At 44.7% G+C, this 19,007-nt stretch overlaps 2 annotated features.

The window, feature by feature from the left end:
- Positions 2,974–3,145: a silencer, noted in NCBI's record as "fragment chr8:37871736-37871907 (GRCh37/hg19 assembly coordinates)". NCBI's record gives its function as "represses an EF-1alpha promoter that drives an FKBP-Casp9 reporter gene in an ReSE screen in K562 erythroleukemia cells {active_cell/tissue: K562}" and the evidence as "EXISTENCE:reporter gene assay evidence [ECO:0000049][PMID:32094911]".
- Positions 4,054–4,555: an enhancer, noted in NCBI's record as "NANOG hESC enhancer chr8:37872816-37873317 (GRCh37/hg19 assembly coordinates)". NCBI's record gives its function as "activates a minimal SCP1, AML or CMV promoter by ChIP-STARR-seq in primed H9 embryonic stem cells {active_cell/tissue: H9 hESC(primed)}" and the evidence as "EXISTENCE:reporter gene assay evidence [ECO:0000049][PMID:30033119]".

Below are 19,007 nucleotides of genomic sequence, written 5' to 3' on the forward strand. Positions count from 1 at the left end.
CCTCTGTCTCAAAAAAAAAAAAAGAAGAAGAAGAAGCTGCTTTGTTTCTAAGCAGATAGCTACTGATAAAAGGTTAAATATCTCCACAAGTAGCTACTACTCTACGTTCACCTTATCTTACGTAAAGTGCCAGTTTACTGAGTAGGAGACAAATCCATAACTGACTATTCCCTCCCTCCTCCTTTTCTCTTGTAATGTGGATGACCACAGTCTCCCTCTTTCCCTGCCAGCCTGCTTTTCCCTTTAAATATTTTTTCTCATTTAATATATATATTTATATATGATATATATTTTATATTTATATTTTTTATATATTTTTTTTTAATTTAGAGGGAGTCTCACTCTGTCACCCAGGCTGGAGTGCAGTAGCAGATCTCCACTCACTGCAACCTCCACCTCCCAGGTTCAAGCCATTCTCCCTCCTCAGCCTCCTGAGTAGCTGGGATTATAGACATGCACCACCACGCCTGGATGACTTTTGTATTTTTAGTAGGGACAGGGTTTACACCATGTTGGCCAGGCTGGTCTCGAACTCTTGACCTCAGGTGATTCGCCCACCTCAGCCTCCCAAAGTTCTGGGATTACAAGTGTGAGCCACTGTGCCCAGCTTTAGTTTTAATTTTTTTGAGACAGGGTCTCACCTTGTTGCCCAGGCTGGAGTGTATTCGTACAATCTCGGCTCACTGCTGCTTCAGTCTCCCCCTTTCAAGCAATTCTTGTGCCTCAGCTGCCCAAATAGCTGGGATTACAGGCGTGCGCCACCACAACTGGCTAATTTTTGTATTTTTAGTAGAGACTAGGTTTCCCCATGTTGCCCAGGCTGGCCTCAAACTCCTGGGCTCAAGCAATCCTCCTGCCTCAGCCTCCTAAAGGGCTAGGATTACAGGCATGAGTCACCGAGCCTGGCCTAGATATATATTTAAAAGGTCTTCATGCATTTTTTTCTCTCCTAGGATCTTGTTTTTTGAGAAAAAATGCTTTTTTTCTTCTCAGTGGACTGAATTCTATTATCTCCATATACTTCTCTCTGTCTCTCCTTCCTCATGCCATCCTCTGCTGCCTGAGGGATCTTAAATAATTTCTAACAGCCTGGGATTCCCTGAAGAAAACAGAAAAGGGCCGGGCGCGGTGGCTCACGCTTGTAATCCCAGCACTTGGGGAGGCCAAAGTGGGCGGATCACGAGGTCAGGAGATGGAGACCATCCTGGCTAACACGGTGAAACCCCGTCTCTACTAAAAATACAAAAAAAAAATTAGCCTGGCGTGGTGGCGGGCGCCTACAGTCCCAGCTACTGGCGAGACTGAGGCGAGAGAATGGCGTGAACCCGAGAGGCGGAGCTTGCAGTGAGCCAAGATCGCGCCAATGCACTCCAGCCTGGGCAACAGAGGGAGACTCCGTCTCAAAAAAAAACAAAGAAAGAAAGAAAACAGAGAAGACGCCAGACTCCTTTTTAGGAGAAGCCCCTGTTTTTCCTTATGAAATCCCAAAGGGTAAACAGACAAGTTCCTCTCAGATCTTAATCTGCTGGCTTTTGTATTGAGTTACCTAATTTATTTTATTTTATTTTATTTTATTCTTTATCGAAATAGTTATTGCTACAGGGGCTACTCTTAAGTGTTGAAGATAAGAACGGGTGTGGTTTAAACACTTAAAACACAATGTAATAGCTTTGTAACAAAGTGCACTGTAAAAGCATTACGTGGCCTACTCTCATGATGTCTCTCTTTCTGGAGACCCAGGATTCAGTGTGGGCTCTGCCCAGAGCCCAGAAGTACAGTTAATAGAGACTAAATTTAAAATTATCTGTCTAGGCAGGGCACGGTGGCTCGTGCCATTGGGGGATCAGGAAGACCAGAGAGAGATCTTGGGGTGTATACAGGATATCTTTATTGAGTGCACTCAGATGACCCAGCGGACATAATATCTAAACGCTGGGCCCAGAACAAAGACAGCACTTGACTTTTACACACACTTCAAAAAGGGGGTGGGCTAGCTTGAAGCAGGCTTACAGTTACAGTGGCGTGAAAGCAAGGATATAGAGTCAGAACAATTAATCAAATTGTGACAGGTTCATAACTCAGGACTACACATGACCAATGCCAAGCAACCTAGATGTCTGTTATCTAGGTTTTACTCTAAAGAGCCTTGCACTGGTTTATCTCATAACCTTTACTATGGTGCCCAGACAGCTGTTGTTCGGGCCTGCTCAGGCTTCTCATGACCTTTGCTGTACTTCTTAGATAAAACAGAATACTTGAAGTTACTAGGTACAGAGAACAAGAATCTATAAACTCATACCATAAAACAAAGGAAAATTTGTTTCTCTTCTCCCTATGTTGAGGAAGTGCTGGGAGAGCCTCCAGAGCACGTTCCTTTGTGTCCTGGCTTCTTAGATAGTATTATCAAGGCTTTCCCTGGGTCTGCGCTGTGCCCATTGCTGCCTCTGGGACAAGTCAGCCTAATACAGGAAAGCTTATTTCTTTCTCCTTTTAATTTTATTTTTCTTTCTTTCTTTAATTTCCCGCCTCAATGCCTATAATCTCAACACTTTGGGAGGCCAGGGTGGGCGGATCACCTGAGTTCAGGAGTTCGAAACCAGCCTGGCCAACATGGTGAAACCCTGTCTCTACTAAAAATACAAAAATTAGCTGGGCATGTTGGCACACACCTGTAATCCCAGCTACTAGGGAGGCTGAGGCAGGAGAATCGCTTGAACCAGGGAGGTGGAGGTTGCAGTGAGCCAAGATCACACCACTTCACTCCAGCCTGGATGACAGAGTGAGACTCCGTCTCAAAAAAAAAAAAAAAAAAAAAAAAAAGGCAGTGGCTCACACCTGTAATCCCAGCACCAGCACTTTGGGAGGCCAAGGCAGGTGGATCACCAGGTCAGAAGTTCAAGACCAGCCTGGCCAACATGGTGAAACCCCATCTCTACTAAAGACACAAAAAATTAGCCAGGCGTGGTGGCACGTGCCTATAATCCTAGCTACTCGAGAGTCTGAGGCAGGAAAATCACTTGAACCCGGGAGGCAGAGGTTGCAGTGAACCGAGGTCGTGCCATTGTACTCCAGCCTGGGCGACAGGGTGAAACTCTGTCTCAAAAAAAAAAAAGTATCTAAATTATAAAATCCTGTGGTAGATTTTAACAATTATATGTTTGGCTTGGTATTCCTTTTTAATCTCCCTCTAACACACCCAGATTCTCTTTCTTTCTCCCTCTCTGTACTCTGGAAAGTAAATTTCACTATCTGATTTTAACGTGAGTTGTTCCTTTACTATGCAAATTTAGGGCTATCAAGCTGACAATTGACTAAAGTAATGAAACAGGTTATCAATGTGAACCCAAAATACCTGAAACAGGTCTCAATCAATTTAGAAAGTTTACTTTGCCAAGGTTAAGGATGTGCCTGTGAAACAGCCTCAGGGGGTCCTGTCAACCATGTGCCCGAGGTGGTTGAGGTACAGCTGGATTTTACATATTTTAGGGAGACATGAGACATCAGTCAACATGGGTAAGACATACATTGGTTTGGTCCCGAAAGGCAGGACAACTCGAAGTGGAATGAAGGAGCTTCTAAGTCATAGGCAGATAAAAGACAAAAGGTTGTATTCTTTGGTTGGTTTTTTGAGACAGAGTCTCACTCTGTCGCCCAGGCTGGAGTGCAGTAGCTCAATCTAGGTTCACTGCAACCTCCGCCTCCCAGGTTCAAGCAATTCTTCTGCATCAGCCTCCTGAGTAGCTGGGATTATAGGTGCCCACCATCATGCAGAGCTAATCTTTGTATTTTTAGTAGAGATGGGGTTTCACCATGTTGACCAGGCTGGTCTTGAACTCCTGACCTCAAGTAGTCCGCCCACCTCAGCCTCCCAAAGTGCTGGGATTACAGGCATGAGCCACCACACTCAGCCTGTTTGTTTTTTGAGATAGGGTCTCACTCTTGTCTCCCAGGCAAGTGGAGTGCAGTGGCACCATCCTCACAGCTCACTGCAGCCCCGAACTCTTAGGCTCAAGCGATCCTCAGACCTCAGCCTCCCAAGTAACTGGGACTACAGGTGTGCACCACCACACCCAGCTAATTTTTGTATTTTTTGTAGCGACGTAGTTTTGCCATGTTGCTCAGTCTGGTCTCCAACTCCTGGGCTCAAACAATCCACCCACCTAGGCCTCCAAAAATGCTGGGATTACAGGTGTAAGCCAGCATGCCCAGCCTGGTTGCATTCTTTTGAGTCCTTGACCAGTCTTTCACTGAATACACAATTTAGTCTGACTCAGTGAATCTGCGTTTTCACTTAAACATAGATCAGAGGAAGCAATCAGATATGCATTTGTCTCAAGTGAGGAGAGGGATGACTTTCTGTTCTGCACCTGGGAAGATAAGCTATCAGTTTACAATGCCAGGGTGAAAGTCAACAGAACTGTTTTAAGGTAAAGATCTTGGGGCGCACAAGCAAATTGTGAGGGAGGTATGTAGCTTTCTTTTTACTTTTGAAACAGAGTTTTGCTCCTGTTGTCCAGGCTGGAGTGCAATGGCACAATCTCAGCTCACTGCAACCTCCCCCTCCCAGGTTCCAGTATTTCTCCCGTCAAGTAGCTGGGATTACAGGCATGCACCATCACACCCGGGTAATTTTGTATTTTTAGTACAGACAGGATTTCACCATGTTGGCCAGGCTGGTCTCAAACTCCTGACCTCCGGTGATACACCCACCTTCGCCTCCCAAAGTGCTGGGATTACAGGTGTGTAAAATTTAAGTAAAATTTACTTAAATTAAACACTTTATAGAAAAGTAGAAACTTTAAGCCTAATTGCCTTTTTAAGTTCGTGTGACAAGTAAATCTTTAATAAATAACCTGGTTTTAAAAGTATTTGTAAAATAAAATTAGAAATGTCTTCAGAATTGTCAACATACATTATTGTTTAGATTTATTAGTCAAGTGGTTTTATATTATCTCTGCTAGATATTATAAATTGTCAAAATGTGGCATGAGGGTTATAAAGCTATAAATGTAGCCCAAAAGAGAATTATCATTGTTTGTGTAATTTTTAAATAAATAAGGTATTTAATGTTGGCTTAATGGAAACAGCTAAATCCTGAGTTATTGGCAAAATAAAATAAAACAAAACAAACATTTATTTAACCTTAAGTTTCTTACTTTGGTAAACATCTGAAATTCATAAGATATAAAAATGTTTCACAGGAAAATAACTTTAAATGATGACTATCACAGTTTTCATAAGCTATCTAGGTAAACTATCTTTAAAAAATTAATTAGGCTGGGAGTGGTGGCTCATGCCTGTAATCCCAGCACTTTGGGAGGCTGAAGTGGGCGGATCACCTGAGGTCAAGAGTTCGAGACCACCCTGGCCAACATGATGGAACCAGGTGTCTACTAAAAACACAAAAAAATTAGCAAGGCATGGTGGTGGGCGACTGTAATCCCAGCTACTCGGGAGGCTGAGGCAGGAGAATCACTTGAACCCGGGAAGAGGAGGTTGCAGTGAGCCAAGATCACGCCACTGCACTCCAGCCTGGGCGACAAGAGCAAAACTCCCTCAAAAAAAAAAAAATTGATTAACTAGGTAAATTTAATAAAACAAATGCTTGTAAATAAACATATAATTTAGAATCTAAAGTTATATTAAATCGGCCAGGCGCAGTAGTTCACGCCTGTAATCCCAGCACTTTGGGAGGCCAAGGCAGGTGGATCACCTGAGGTCGGGAGTTCGAGACCACCCTGGCCAACATGGTGAAACCCTGACTCTACTGAAAATACAAAAATTAGCTGGGCATGGTGGTGCATGCTTGTAATTCGAGCTACTTGAGGGGCTGAGGCAGGAGAATCACTTGAACCTGGGAAGTGGAGGTTGCAGTTTGCTGGATCGCGCCACTGCACTTCAACCTGGGCAACAGAATGAGACTGTGTAAAAAATAAAAATAAAAATAGAGAGAGCACTTATATGGCCAATAATTATTCTTGTTGCATTTATGCAAATAATCAAGCCAACTATAATAAGACTAAAACTTATTTTACAAATAAATTGATCCTACTATGATTTCATCTTTAATAAAACTGAGGAGTTGGAGAGAGAAAAATTGTTTCACAATAAACTATAGTACACCAGTTATTAGCTTCTAGCCTTGTCCAGTGCTTTTCCATTTTATTATGTCTTAAAATTTGAACTGAATCCTGAAATGTTTCCTGGCTACAAGTCTCCAAAATAATGTTTGCAACTTTTTTCTTCTTTTTCTTTTCCCCCCATTTATCCTGATTTGAAATCCCTAAAAATTAAGCTATGCTTTTCTTAAAGTGCTGTGAACTGAAGCTAGACACCTTAAATTTCAGAGGAAAATAAGAGAAACCTGTCTATATACATAAACCTTTGGTTTTTTATTTTATTTTATTTTATTGAGACGGAGTTTCCCTTTGTTGTCCAGGGTGGAATGCAGTGGCATGACCTCCACTCACTGCATCCTCCACCTCCCAGGCTAAAGCAATTCTCCCTCCTCAGCCACCTGAGTAGCTGGGACTACAGGCGTGCACTAGCACACCCGGCTAATTTTTGTGTTTTTAGTAGAGATGGGGTTTTGCCATGTTGGCGAGGCTGGTCTTGAACTCCTGGCCTCAAATGATAGAAATCCTTGGCCTCCCAAAGTGGTGGGATTACAGGCATGAGCCACTGTGCCCAGTCCATAAACCATTTTTATACCTGCCTGCTGATGCATGGACTTCAGAGTAATATGGCCTATATTGGTTTTCCAGGATTGCTCTCCCTTTTTTCTTTGTTTGCTATTTCTTCCTTTTCTTCTTCTGTTTTCCTTCTTTCTTCCTTTCCCTATTTTTAATTCGTGGGACATGATACTTCACAAACTACTGAAAATGGGCTTTTCTAACAACATGGGACCTATCTAGGAATAAACCATCCTAACCATGACAGATCAAACAAAACAAAAACCAGAGACTCCTTTTCTTCTTAAATGCTTTCTCTTGGCCTGGCTTGGTGGCTCATGTCTGTAATCTCAGCACGTTGGGAGGCCGAGGCAGGCAGATCACCTGAGGTCAGGAGTTCGAGACCAACCTGGCCAACATGGCAAAATCCTAGCCCTGCTAAAAATATAAAAATTAGCTGTGTGTGGTGGTGCACACCTGTAATCCCAGCTATTAGGGAGTCTGAGGCAGGAGAATAGCTTGAACCCGGGAGGTGGAGGTTGCAGTCAGTGGGATTGTGCCACTGCACTCCAGCCTGGGCAACAGAGCGAGATTCCATCTCAAAAAAAAAAAAAAAAAAACAGTTTTGTTTGTTTGTTTTGTTTTTAGACGTCGCTCTGTCACCCAGTCTGGATTGCAGTGGTGCAATCTCAGCTCACTGCAACCTCCGCCTCCCAGGTTCAAGCAATTCTCCTGCCTCAGCCTCCCGAGTAGCTGGGACTACAGGTGCGTGCCACCACGCCCAGCTAATTTTGTTTTGTATTTTAGTAGAGACGGGGTTTCACCATGTTGCCCAGGCTAGTCTCAAACTCCTGAGCTCAGGCAATCCACCTACCTTGGCCTCCAAAAGTGCTAGGATTACAGGCGTGAGCCACTGCGCCCGGCAAAGATTTTCAAAAGAAAAGGAGGGATAAGTGTCAAAAGAAAAGGAGGGATAAGTGTCAAAAGAAAATAAAACCTCGGGACCCCAACTCAAAATGCCAAAAGGAAAAACCCCCTTAAGCTGAACACTGAATCATACAAGAAGCTGGCTTTCCTTTTGTTCCTAAGACATCTACTGATATAAAGTTAAACAGGCCCACAAGTAGCTGTGCTATGTTCACCTTATCTTATATAAAGTGCCAGTTTACTGAGCACCAGGCAAATTTATAACTGACTGTTCCCTACCTGCTCTTTGTCTTGTAATGTGAATGACCACACCCTCCCTCTATCCCCACCCACCTGCTTTTCCCCTTTAAATACTGAAGCCTCAGAATCTTCTTTGGAGAGAGGCACAGATCACAGACTGTTTCTGTGATTCTGTGTTCTTTTCTCCTGGGCATGTCCTTAATCCTGGCAAAATAACTTCTAAATTGATAGAATCCTGCCTCAGATACTTTTTGGTTTACAATACAATGGCCTAGGACAAAGTCTGTTGGCATTGTAGAGCAGAAAATGGTTTGTGACAAAATTCTGTCCAAGTGTGTTGACAAACTTCAGTCTTTCATCCTGTGGTCAGAGTTCCATTAATGAGAACGCATGGAAGGGACCAGAGGTGATTGTTTTCTTCTTTGGCAGATGTGGACTTTAGGGAGATAAGGAAACTTCAGAGAACTACTTCATCCTGTGCTTTGGGAGAGACAGAGGATTGAGAGATAGGGGGCCCAGGAAGTCAGAAAGACCTTGAGGCTTCTTCAGTTCAGCACGTCAAAGTGCCATATTGGTTTCTGAGCTCCAACGCTGGGATACCATGAATCTATCTGGAATGGAAACAGAGCTTTCTGAAGAAAGGCTGAATTTATATCTGGGGAAGGAAATTGAGAAGAGGCACTCTTGATGAAGAGTCAAACTCTGAAAAATATCTGAAGAGATTTATTCTGAGCCAAATATGAGGGACCAGTGGCCCATGACACAATCCTCAGGAGATCTTGAGAACATGTGACCATGGTGGTTGGGCCACAACTTGGTTTTATATACTTTAGGGAGACATAAGGCATCAACGTATCCATGTAAGATGTACATTGGTTTGGTCTAGAAAGGCAGGACAACAGGAAAAATGGTGGGGGGGGCCTTCCAGGTCATAGGTGGATTCAAAGATTTTCTGATTGGCAATTGGTTGAAAGAGTTAAGTTATTGTCTAAAGATGTAGAATCAATAGAACAGAATGTCTGGGTTAAGATAAGGGATTGTGGAGACCTAGGTTCTGATGCATATCAGCCTCCAGGTAGCAGGCTTCAGATAGAATAGATTGTAAATATTTCAATTTTTTTTTTTCTTTGAGACAGAGTCTCACTCTGTCACCCAGGCTGGAGTGCAGTGGTGTGATCTTGGCTCACTGCAACCTCCACCTCCCAGGTTAAAACGATTCTCCTGCCTCAGTTTCCTGAGTAGCTGGGATTACAGGCATGTGCCACCATGCCTGACTAATTTTTGTATTTGTAGTACAGACCAGGTTTCACCATGTTGGCTGGGCTGGTCTTGAACTCCTGACCTCGTGATCTGCCCGTCTCGGCCTCCCAAAGTGCTGGGATTACATGCGTGAGCCACTGTGCCTGGCCTGTAAATGTTTCTTATCAGACTTAGAGTCTCTTCTATCAGCAATTTTAAAAGGGACGAGGGTATAATAAGGCATATCCAGCTCCCCTTTCCCTTCATAGCCTGAACTAGTTTTTCAGGTTAACTTTGGAATGCCCTTGGCCTAGAGGAGGGGTCCATTCAGATGACTGAGGGGCTTAGAATTTTATTTTTGGTTTACAAAGCCCAGAATCCCTTATTGTACAAGAAATAACAGGAGCCACGAAAGATCACTGGGGCCATGACAACAGGACAAGAAAGGATTCCCAGTGGTGAAGCAGGGAATGTCTTCAGTATCAAATAGTATTTGCATTAGACCAGGCGTGGTGACTCACAGAGGTTAGAAGTTCAAAACCAGTGTAGCCAACATGGTGAAACCTTGTCTCTACTAAAAATACAAAAATTAGCCAGGTATAGTGGCACATGCCTGTAATCCCAGCTGCTCGGGAGGCTGAGGCAGGAGAATCGCTTGAACACAGGAGGCAGAGGTTGCAGTGAGCCATGATTGTGCTGCTGCACTCCAGCCCGGGTGACAGAGAGAGATACCATTAAAAAAAAAATTTGCAATGGAGACACACACACACACACACACACACACACCCAGGACACTTCTCTCGCACTGTCTCCCAAGTCCCTTTCTAGCTTGAGCAGCTTCAGAAGTCAGCTCCACTACAGGTTTCTTTTTGCTTTTGTTTTTGCTTTTGTTTTGAAGACAGAGTCTCACTCTGTTGCCCAGGCTGGAGTGCAGTGGCACAATCATGGCTCACTGCAGCTTCCTCAGCTTCAGCAATCCTGCCACCTCAGCCTCCTGAGTAGCTGAGACTACAGGCACATGCCACCACATCTGGCTAATTTTTCTATTTTTTGTAGAGACAGGGTTTCATCATGTTGCTCAAGCTGATCGCAATATCCTGGGCTCAAGCAATCCTCCTGCCTTGGCCTCCCAAAATGCTGCAATTACAGGCATGAGCCACCACACCTGGCCTCCACTACAGTTTCCATTCAGCGAACTGGAAGCATCTCACTCTTGCAGCTCTTGCTGCTTCCTGGGACCATTCCTGGGGGCCCTCTCTTGACACGCCTGCCCCAGCTGGTCCAGATCAGCAGAGCCATGTTGAGATGAACACCGGAGGGTGCTGGTGCCTGCTCAGGGCTGTCCTTAATTTTCCATCAATATAATTTATGAACCTCACAAAGCATTTCAAACCAGAAGGATGGGGCCATTGTGCCTGTTTAGGTTACCAAGATGAATTCCACCCACTTAAAGTAACATCTGTCCCTGCCTCTCCCTGCCTGTTGGTCAAGTAGAGCAAGGTGTGATGGAACCTCTTCTCGGACCCTGCATCCCCCACCCTATCTTTCTTTCTTCCTTTTTTTTTTTTTTTTAAATATGGAGTCTTGCTCTGTTGCCCAGGCTGGAGTGCAGTGGCACAATCTCAGCTCACTGTAGCCTCCGCCTCCCAGGTTCAAGCAATTTTCCCGCTTCAGCCTCCTGAGTAGCTGGGATTACAAGTGCACCCACTACACCCAGCTATTTTTTTTGTATTTTCAGTGGAAACAGGGTTTCACTGTGTTGGTCAGGCTGGTCTCAAACTCCTGACCTCAAGTGATTCACCCACCTAGGCCTCCCAAAGTGCTGGGATTACAGGCATGTGCCGCTATTGGGCAAACCTGCCCCCAGTATTTCAACGTAGGTTCTTTCTATTTTCCCTAAGTGTCGGCCAGTCTGAGAAATAAACAGAAACAGTACAAAGAGAGGAATTTTACAGCTGGGCCTCTGGGGGTGACATCACATATTGGTAGGACCGTGATGCCCACCTGAGCCTTAAAGCCAGCAAGTTTTATTAAGGATTTCAAAAGGGGAGGGGGTGCAAGGACAGGGAGTAGGTCATAAGATCACATGCTTCAAAGGGCAAAAAGGAGAATAAAGATCACATGCTTCTGAGCAAACAGGACAAGGGCAAATTCAGAACTATTGATAAGGGTCTATGTTCAGCTGTGCACTTATTGTCTTGATAAACATCTTAAACAACAAAAAACAGGGTTCAAGAGCAGAGAACTGGTCTGACCTCAAATTTACCAGGGTGGGGTTTCCCAATCCTAGTCAGCCTGAAGGTACTGCAGGAGACCAGGGCGTATTTCAGTCCTTATCTCAACCACATAAGACAGACACTCCCAGAGCGGCCATTTATAGACCTCCCCCCAGGAATGCATTCCTTTCCCAGGGTCTTAATTATTAATATTCCTTGCTAGGAAAAGAATTTAGCAATATCTTCTTTACTTGCAAGTCCGTTTATAGGCTCTCTGCAAGAAGAAAAATATGGCTCTACTCTGCCTGACCCTGCAGGCAGTCAGACCTTATGGTTGTCTTCCCTTGTTCCCTGAAAATCGCTGCTATTCTGTTCTTTTTCAAGGTGCACTGGTTTCATATTGTTCAAACACATGTTTTACAATCAATTTGTACAGTTAACACAATAGTGGTCCTGAGGTGACGTACATTCTCAGTTTACGAAGAAAACAGGATTAAGAGATTAAAGTAAAGACAGGCATAAGAAATTATAAAAGTATTAATTTGGGAACTGATAAATGTCCATATTAAAATGAAATCTTCACAATTTGTGTTCAGAGATTGAAGTAAAGACAGATGTAAGAAATTATAAAAGTATTATTTGAGAACTGATATATGTCCATATTAAAATGAAATCTTCACAATTTATGTTCCTCTGCCACAACTCCAGATGGTCCCTCCGTTTGGGGTCCCTGACTTCCCGCAACAAGCCACTGTGCCCAGCCTCCCACCCTAACTTTCTTTACTGGTTCTAGAAAACATTCCTCAGCTCATTCCAACTTTTTTTGTTTTTTGTTTTGAGACAGCATCTCACTCTGTTGCCCAGGTCAAAGTGCAGTGGCACCAACACAGCTCACTGTAACCTTGACCTCCCAGGCTTGAGCAATCCTCCCACCTCAACCTCCCAAGTAGCTGGGACTACAGGCATATACCACACCCCACTAAGTTTTGTTGTGGTGGTGATTAATATAGGGGTCTCCCTATGTTGCCCAGGCTGGTCACAAACTCCTGGGCTTAAGCCATCCTCTCACCTTGGCCTCCCAAAGTACTAGGATTAGAGGCATGAGCCACCATGCCTGGCCCTCCTTTTCTTTGGCCTCCAGCTGTAACAGTTGTGAGCTTAAGTAATAGACTTAAATGAGCCTGGAAGAAAAGTCAGAAACAAGTTTGGCTTTTGGCAGCAGCAGCACCCAAAAGTATTATCAGTGGCCTCTCTTGGGTAAGTGCTGAGGAGAGTGAGAGTAAGTAAACACATGGCCCCTGCCCTGTGTTGATACTCTGTGACAACATGGATGTCCATATGACAGGAGCTGATACTCTGTGACATGGTGAAATACTCGGCCCTCCATATCCAAGGGCTGCTCATCTGTGGACTTAACCAAGCTTGCATAGAAAAATATTTAGAAAGGCTGGGTGTGGTGGCTTATGCCTGTAATCCCAGCATTTTGGGAGGCCGAGGCGGGTGGATCACAAGGTCAGGAGTTCAAGACCAGCCTAGCCAACATGATGAAACCCTGTCTCTACTAAAAATACAAAAATTAGCTGGGCGTAGTGGCATATGCCTGTAATCCCAGCTGCTTGGGAGGCTGAGGCAGGAGAATCACTTGAACCCAGCAGGCAGAGGTTGCAGTGAGCCGAGATTGCACCACTGCACTCCAGTCTGGGTGACAAAGTGAGACTCTGTCTCAAAAAAAAAAGAAAAAGTATTCAGAAAAAAGAATTGCATCTGTACTGAATATGTACACCATAGATGTCCAACCTTTGGCCTCCCTGGGCCACACTGGAAGAATTGTCTTAGGCCACACATAAAATACACTAATGACAACTGATGAGCTAAACAACAACAACAAAAAAGGTCCATGTACAATTTTTGTGATATCTGCCACCACAGATAAGCAAAAAAGTCCTCACATTTAAAGGGTTGGACACAGCTGATGTACTTTTTTTTCTTGTCATTATTCTCTAAACAATACGACAACTATTTAAATAGCATTTATATTGTATTAGGTATTATAAATAATCTAGGGATGATTTAAAGTATACTGGAAGATGTGCATAGGTTATATGTGTAAACCAAAAATAAAAGTCTAAGTCCCCCCACAACCATCTGAATGGACCCCTCCTCTAGGCCAAGAGCATTCCAATGTTAACCTGAAAAACTAGTTTGGGGCCATGATGGGAAAGGGGAGCCAGAAATGCCTCATTATACCTTCCTCCTTTTTGGAATTGCTGATAGAAGAGACTCTTTAAGTCTGATAAGTAACATTTACAATCTATTCTCTGTAAAGCCTGCTGCCTGGAGGCTTCATCTACATGATAAAAAACTTGGTCTCCAAAACCCCTTATCTTAACCCAAACATTCCTTTCTATTGAAAATAACTCTTTCAACCAACTGACAATCAGAAAACCTTTAAATCTGCCCATTACTTGGAAGCTCCCACTTCCAGCTGTCCCACCTTTTGGGACCAAACCAATGTACATCTTACATGTATTGATTGATGTCTCATGTCTCCCTAAAATGTATAAAACCAAGCTCTACCCCAACCACCTTGGGCACATGACCTCAGGATCTCCTGAGGATGCGTCATGAGCCATTGGTCACTCATATTTGGCTCAGAATACATCTCTTTAGATATTTTACAGAGTTTGGCTCTTTTGTTGACATATGCAAATACTACCCATTTTATATCAGGGACTTGAGGATATCCTCAAGAGGTCCTGGAGCTACTCTTCTGCAGATACCGAGGGAGGGCTATATTTGGTCTTCACCCTGTTTCCTGACACAGAGCTCCTAAAACACTTAGAATCTCCAGAGAGATAACAGCATCTTTTGTGTGCTCTTGAACTCAAGAGGTAGAGGTTGCAGTGAGCTGAGATCAAGCCACTGTACTCCAACCTGAGCAACAGAGTGAGAATGTGTCTCAAACAATAATAATAATAATTTAAAAATCACTAGATTATTTATTTATACTTAGAGATGAAGCCTCACTATGTTGCCCAGGCTGGCCTCAAACTCCTGAGCTCAAGTGATTCTCCCACCCCAGCCTCTCAAATAGCTAGGACTACAGGCGCGTACGTGCCTGTGCCTTGCTTCTTTGTAATACTCTTTATAAAATACCGGGAAACCTAAGTGTTTCCCTGAGTTTTGTGAGCCACTCTAGCAAATGAATCAAACCCAAGGCCCGGGTTGTCAGAAGCACAGATCACAGGCTGTACTTTTGACTGACATCTCAAGTGGGGGGCAGTCTTGTAGGACTGAGCCCTTAACCTGTGGGATCTTGCACTATCTCCAGGCAGATAATGTCAGAATTTGACTGAATTAGAGGACATCGAGCTGGTGTCCCTTGGAGAATCTACCTTGGCCAAATTGCTCGGTTGCTGTGTAAGGAGGAAACCTCACCCAGCTGGTGTCTGAGTGTGGAGTTGGACATGTGAGAAGAAGAAGAAGAATTTGGGTTTTTTTCCTATGTCCTTTTCTACTCAATTACAAGACTTGATATTGTCAACCTAAGGAAGAAGCTGAGGCAAAATTAATATAAGTAGGGAGTTTATTTGGGCTAAACTTGAGGACTGCAACCCAGGAGCATAGATTCATGTCCTGAATATACACTCCAATTAACAGGAATTACAAGTTTACAAGTTACAAGTTTAAGGCAATAGGTTCTGATACAAAGTGGTCTGTCAAGAAATCTCATTGGTTTACAGAAATAGTATCAATTAATCATTCTCCATACATTGATTTTTAATTTTTAATTTTATTTTATTTTTGAGATGAGGCACTCTGTCACCCAGGCTGGAGTGCAGTGGCGTGATCTTGGCTCAGTGCAACCTCTGCCACCCAGGTTCAAGCGATTCTCCTGTCTCAGCTTCCCTAGTAGCTGGGACTACAGGCGCATACCACCACACCTGGCTACTTTTTGCATTTTTAGTAGAGACGGGGTTTCACCATGTTAGCCAGACTGGTCTCAAACTCCTGACCTCAGGTGATCCGCCTGCCTCGGCCTCGCAAAGTGCTAGGATTATAGGCGTGAGCTACAACTCCCGGCCACATTTTAAAAATTTTTTTGTAGAGATGAAGGGGGAGGGTCTCTCTGTTGCCCAGGCTGGTCTCAAACTCCTGGCCTCAAGCCATCCTCTCACCTTGGCTTGCCAAAGTGTGGAAATCATAGGAGTAAGCCACTGCACCCAGCCTTGGCTATACACTGTTAAGTTATAGTGTCCACACCCTATATAGTCTTTAGTGCAGCATTATTATTAATAGGTTAATTTATGGCTACTTGTGACAATAGCAAGCAGTTTCAAGAGATGAATACATAGCTCAAAAGGGGGTAGTGGGACGTGATTGCTGTCTCATTTTAATGTCTAGGCCTGATAATTTAAAAGGATTCCCATTCCTCAGATAAAAGCTGTTTTTTCCATATGAATGAGTTCCTGCTCTAGAAAAAGGTAGAGGGGCCAGTCACAGTGGCTCATGCCTGTAATCCCAAAACTTTAAGAGGCTGAGGAGGGAGGATCACTTGAGGCCAGGAGTTTGAGACCAACCTAGGTAACATAGCAAGATCTCATTTCTACAAAAATTTTTTTTTTTTTGAGATGGAGTCTTGCTGTTGCCCAGGCTAAAGTGTAGTGGCAGGATCTTGGCTCACTGCAACCTATGCCTCCTGGGTTCAAGTGATTCTCCTGTCTCAGCCTCCTGAGTAGCTGGGATTACAGGCACACACCACCACGCCTGGCTAATTTTTGTATTTTTAGTAGAGACAGGGTTTCACCATGTTGGCCAGGTGGTCTCCTGACCTCAGGTGATCTGTCTGCCTCGGCCTCCCAAAGTGCTGGGATTACAGGCATGAGCCACCTCGCCCGGCCAAAAAATTCTTTTCTTTAATTAGCCAAGTGCAGTGGCATGCACCTGTAATCCCAGCCACTGGGGAGGCTGAGGTGGGAGGATGGCTTGAGCCCAGGAGTTGGAAGCTGCACTGAGTTATGATTGTGCCTATAATTAGCCACTGCACTCCAGCCCAGGCAACAGAGTGAAACTCTTTTTTTTTTTGAGATGGAGTCTCGCTCTGTCACCCAGGATGGGTGCAGTGGCACGATCTCAGCCCACTGCAACTTCTGCCTCCCAGTTTGAAGCGATTATCCTGCCTTAGCCTCCCGAGTAGCTGGGACTACAGGCGTCTGCCATCATGCCCGGGTAATTTTTTTTTTTCGTATTTTTAGTAGAGATGGGGTTTCACCGTGTTAGCCAGGATGGTCTCAATCTCCTGACCTCGTGATCTGCCCCCCTCGGCCTACCAAAGTGTTGGGATTACAGGCGTGAGCCACCACACCCGGCCTGAAACTCTCTCTTTTTTGAAACAAGGTCTTACTATGTTGCCCAGGCTGGTCTCTGAACTCCCGGCCTCAAGCAATCCTCTGGCCTTGTAATCCCAGCTAGGGCTGGGATTACAAGTGCACATCGCTGCAACCAGCAAGGCCTGGTCTATTTTTATCTTATATTATTTATTTATTTTTTGAGCCCTGGCTGGAGTGCAGTGGTGCAATCTTGGCTCATGGCAACCTCCACCTCTGGGGCTCAGGTCATCTTCCTACCTCATCCTTGAAAGTAGCTGGGACCACAGGTGTGAGCCACAACACTGGGCTAATTTTTAAATTTTTTTGTAGAGACAGAGTTTCACCATGTTGCCCAGGCTTGTCTCAAACTCCTGAGCCCAAGCAGTCTGCTCACCTCGGTCTCCAAATGTGCTGGTATTACAGGTGTGATCCACAGCACCTGGATGAAATTAATTTTTTTTTTTTTTTTTTTTTGAGACGGAGTCTCACTCTGTCACCCAGGCTGGAGTGCAGTGGCAGATCTCTACTCACTACAACCTCTGCCTCCCAGGTTCAAGCAATTCTCCACCTCAGCCTCCCGAGTAGCTGGGATTACAGGCACCCGCCACTGTGCCCGGTCTGTTGTTTTTGTTTGTTTGTTTGTTTGTTTTGTTTTTTTGTATTTTTAGTAGAGACAGGGTTTCACCATCTTGGCCAGGCTGGTCTTGAACTCCTGACCTCATGATCCACCCGCCTAGGCCTCCCAAAGTGGTGGGATTACAGGCGTGAGCCACTGCACCCAGCCGAAATTTATTTTTTTTTCTTTTGAGACAGAGTCTTGCTCTGACGCCAGGCTGGAGTGCAGTGGCATGATTTCAGCTCACTGCAACCTCTGCCTCCCAGGTTCAAGCAATTCTCCTGCCTCAGCCTCCCGAGTAGCTGGGACTACAGGCATGCGCCACCATGCCCAGCTAATTTTTTTTATATTTTTAGTAGAGACAGGGTTTCACCATGTTGTCCAGGATGGTCTCGATCTCTTGACCTCATGATCCGCCTGCCTCGGCCTCCCAACGTGTTGGGATTACAGGCGTGAGCCACTGCGCCTGGCCCAAAATTAATTTTTATAATGTATTTTTCTTAACCCAGTATACTCAAAATATTATCAGTTCAACATACAATCAATATAGAAACAAATTATTCAGGTATTTTACATGATTTTCTTCACACTAAGTCTTTGAAATATGGTGTGTATGTTAAACTTGTGACAGTTTGGACTGGTCACATTTGGAGTGCTCAATGTGCACCTGTAGCTGGTGGCTACTGTCTTAGCCACTGTAGGCCTAAAGTTTCCCTCAAAAGTGAGACCAAACTCAACAGGTCTCCCTATCTCAGGCCTTGCCCTCCTTGGCCCATTCTGAAACTCCACTGGCTACTAGTTATCCTTCCAAAAAACAACTCAAATCATGTCATCCCCCTGCTTAAAAGATCTCTGATATCTCCTGCCCTTCTAAGACAAAGTCCAAGCACTTTGGCATAATTTGAAAAACTCAACGACCTGACCCCAATTTCCTTTTTAAAAAATTATTATATATTTTTTTAGAGATAGGGTCTCTGTCACAAAGGGTGGAGTGCAGTGGTGTGATCACAGCTCACTGGAGCCTCAAACCCCTGGGCTCAAGCATCCTCCAGCCTCAGCTTCCTGAGTAGCTGGGATTACAGGTGCACCACCCAATTTCCCTTTTAAACTGCCCTCCCCTCTTCACCCTCTTCCCCACAATATGTGCCCATAATGCTAAGAACTTCTCAAACCCAACAAGCTTTTCCATCCTCGGTCCTTCTTGCATTTTTCTCTCTCCCCTTGAACATCCATCCATCCATCCATCCATCCATCCATCCATCCATCCATCCAAGGAGTACCTACTAAACCTCAGGTGGACGTTGGACTCAATTCAGGGGCTATCGGGAAACCTCTTCGACACTCTTACTCCTCTCCAACGCCCTTCCCCACCACCCACCTCTGCGCCCCCAGCTCTAAATTTAGCTCCCAGGACGCCGCTGGTTGGTTCACTCCTCCTCCCACACCCTCTCTAAAGGCCGGGAACGGAATTGTTAGCCCCTCCACCCCCACCCCCATCAAGGTCAAGAAATTGAAGCGGGGCGGGGGGCGGTGAGCATAACTACTCAATCCCCATTTTCTCATCTGAGGAACTAAGGCACGAAACAGGGAGTGCCGAAGGGTACACCAGGCCTGATGTCCTAATGCAGAAACCGGGCCTTCCTGCAGTGGGCCGGGTCAGCTCGGATCTCCGCGCGGTCCTGAGTCGCCGCCCCCAACCCAGCCAAGGATTAATTTAGGCGAGCTATCC

This window comes from Homo sapiens, chromosome 8, assembly GCF_000001405.40.
Source record: "Homo sapiens chromosome 8, GRCh38.p14 Primary Assembly".
Classification (NCBI taxonomy): domain Eukaryota; kingdom Metazoa; phylum Chordata; class Mammalia; order Primates; family Hominidae; genus Homo; species Homo sapiens.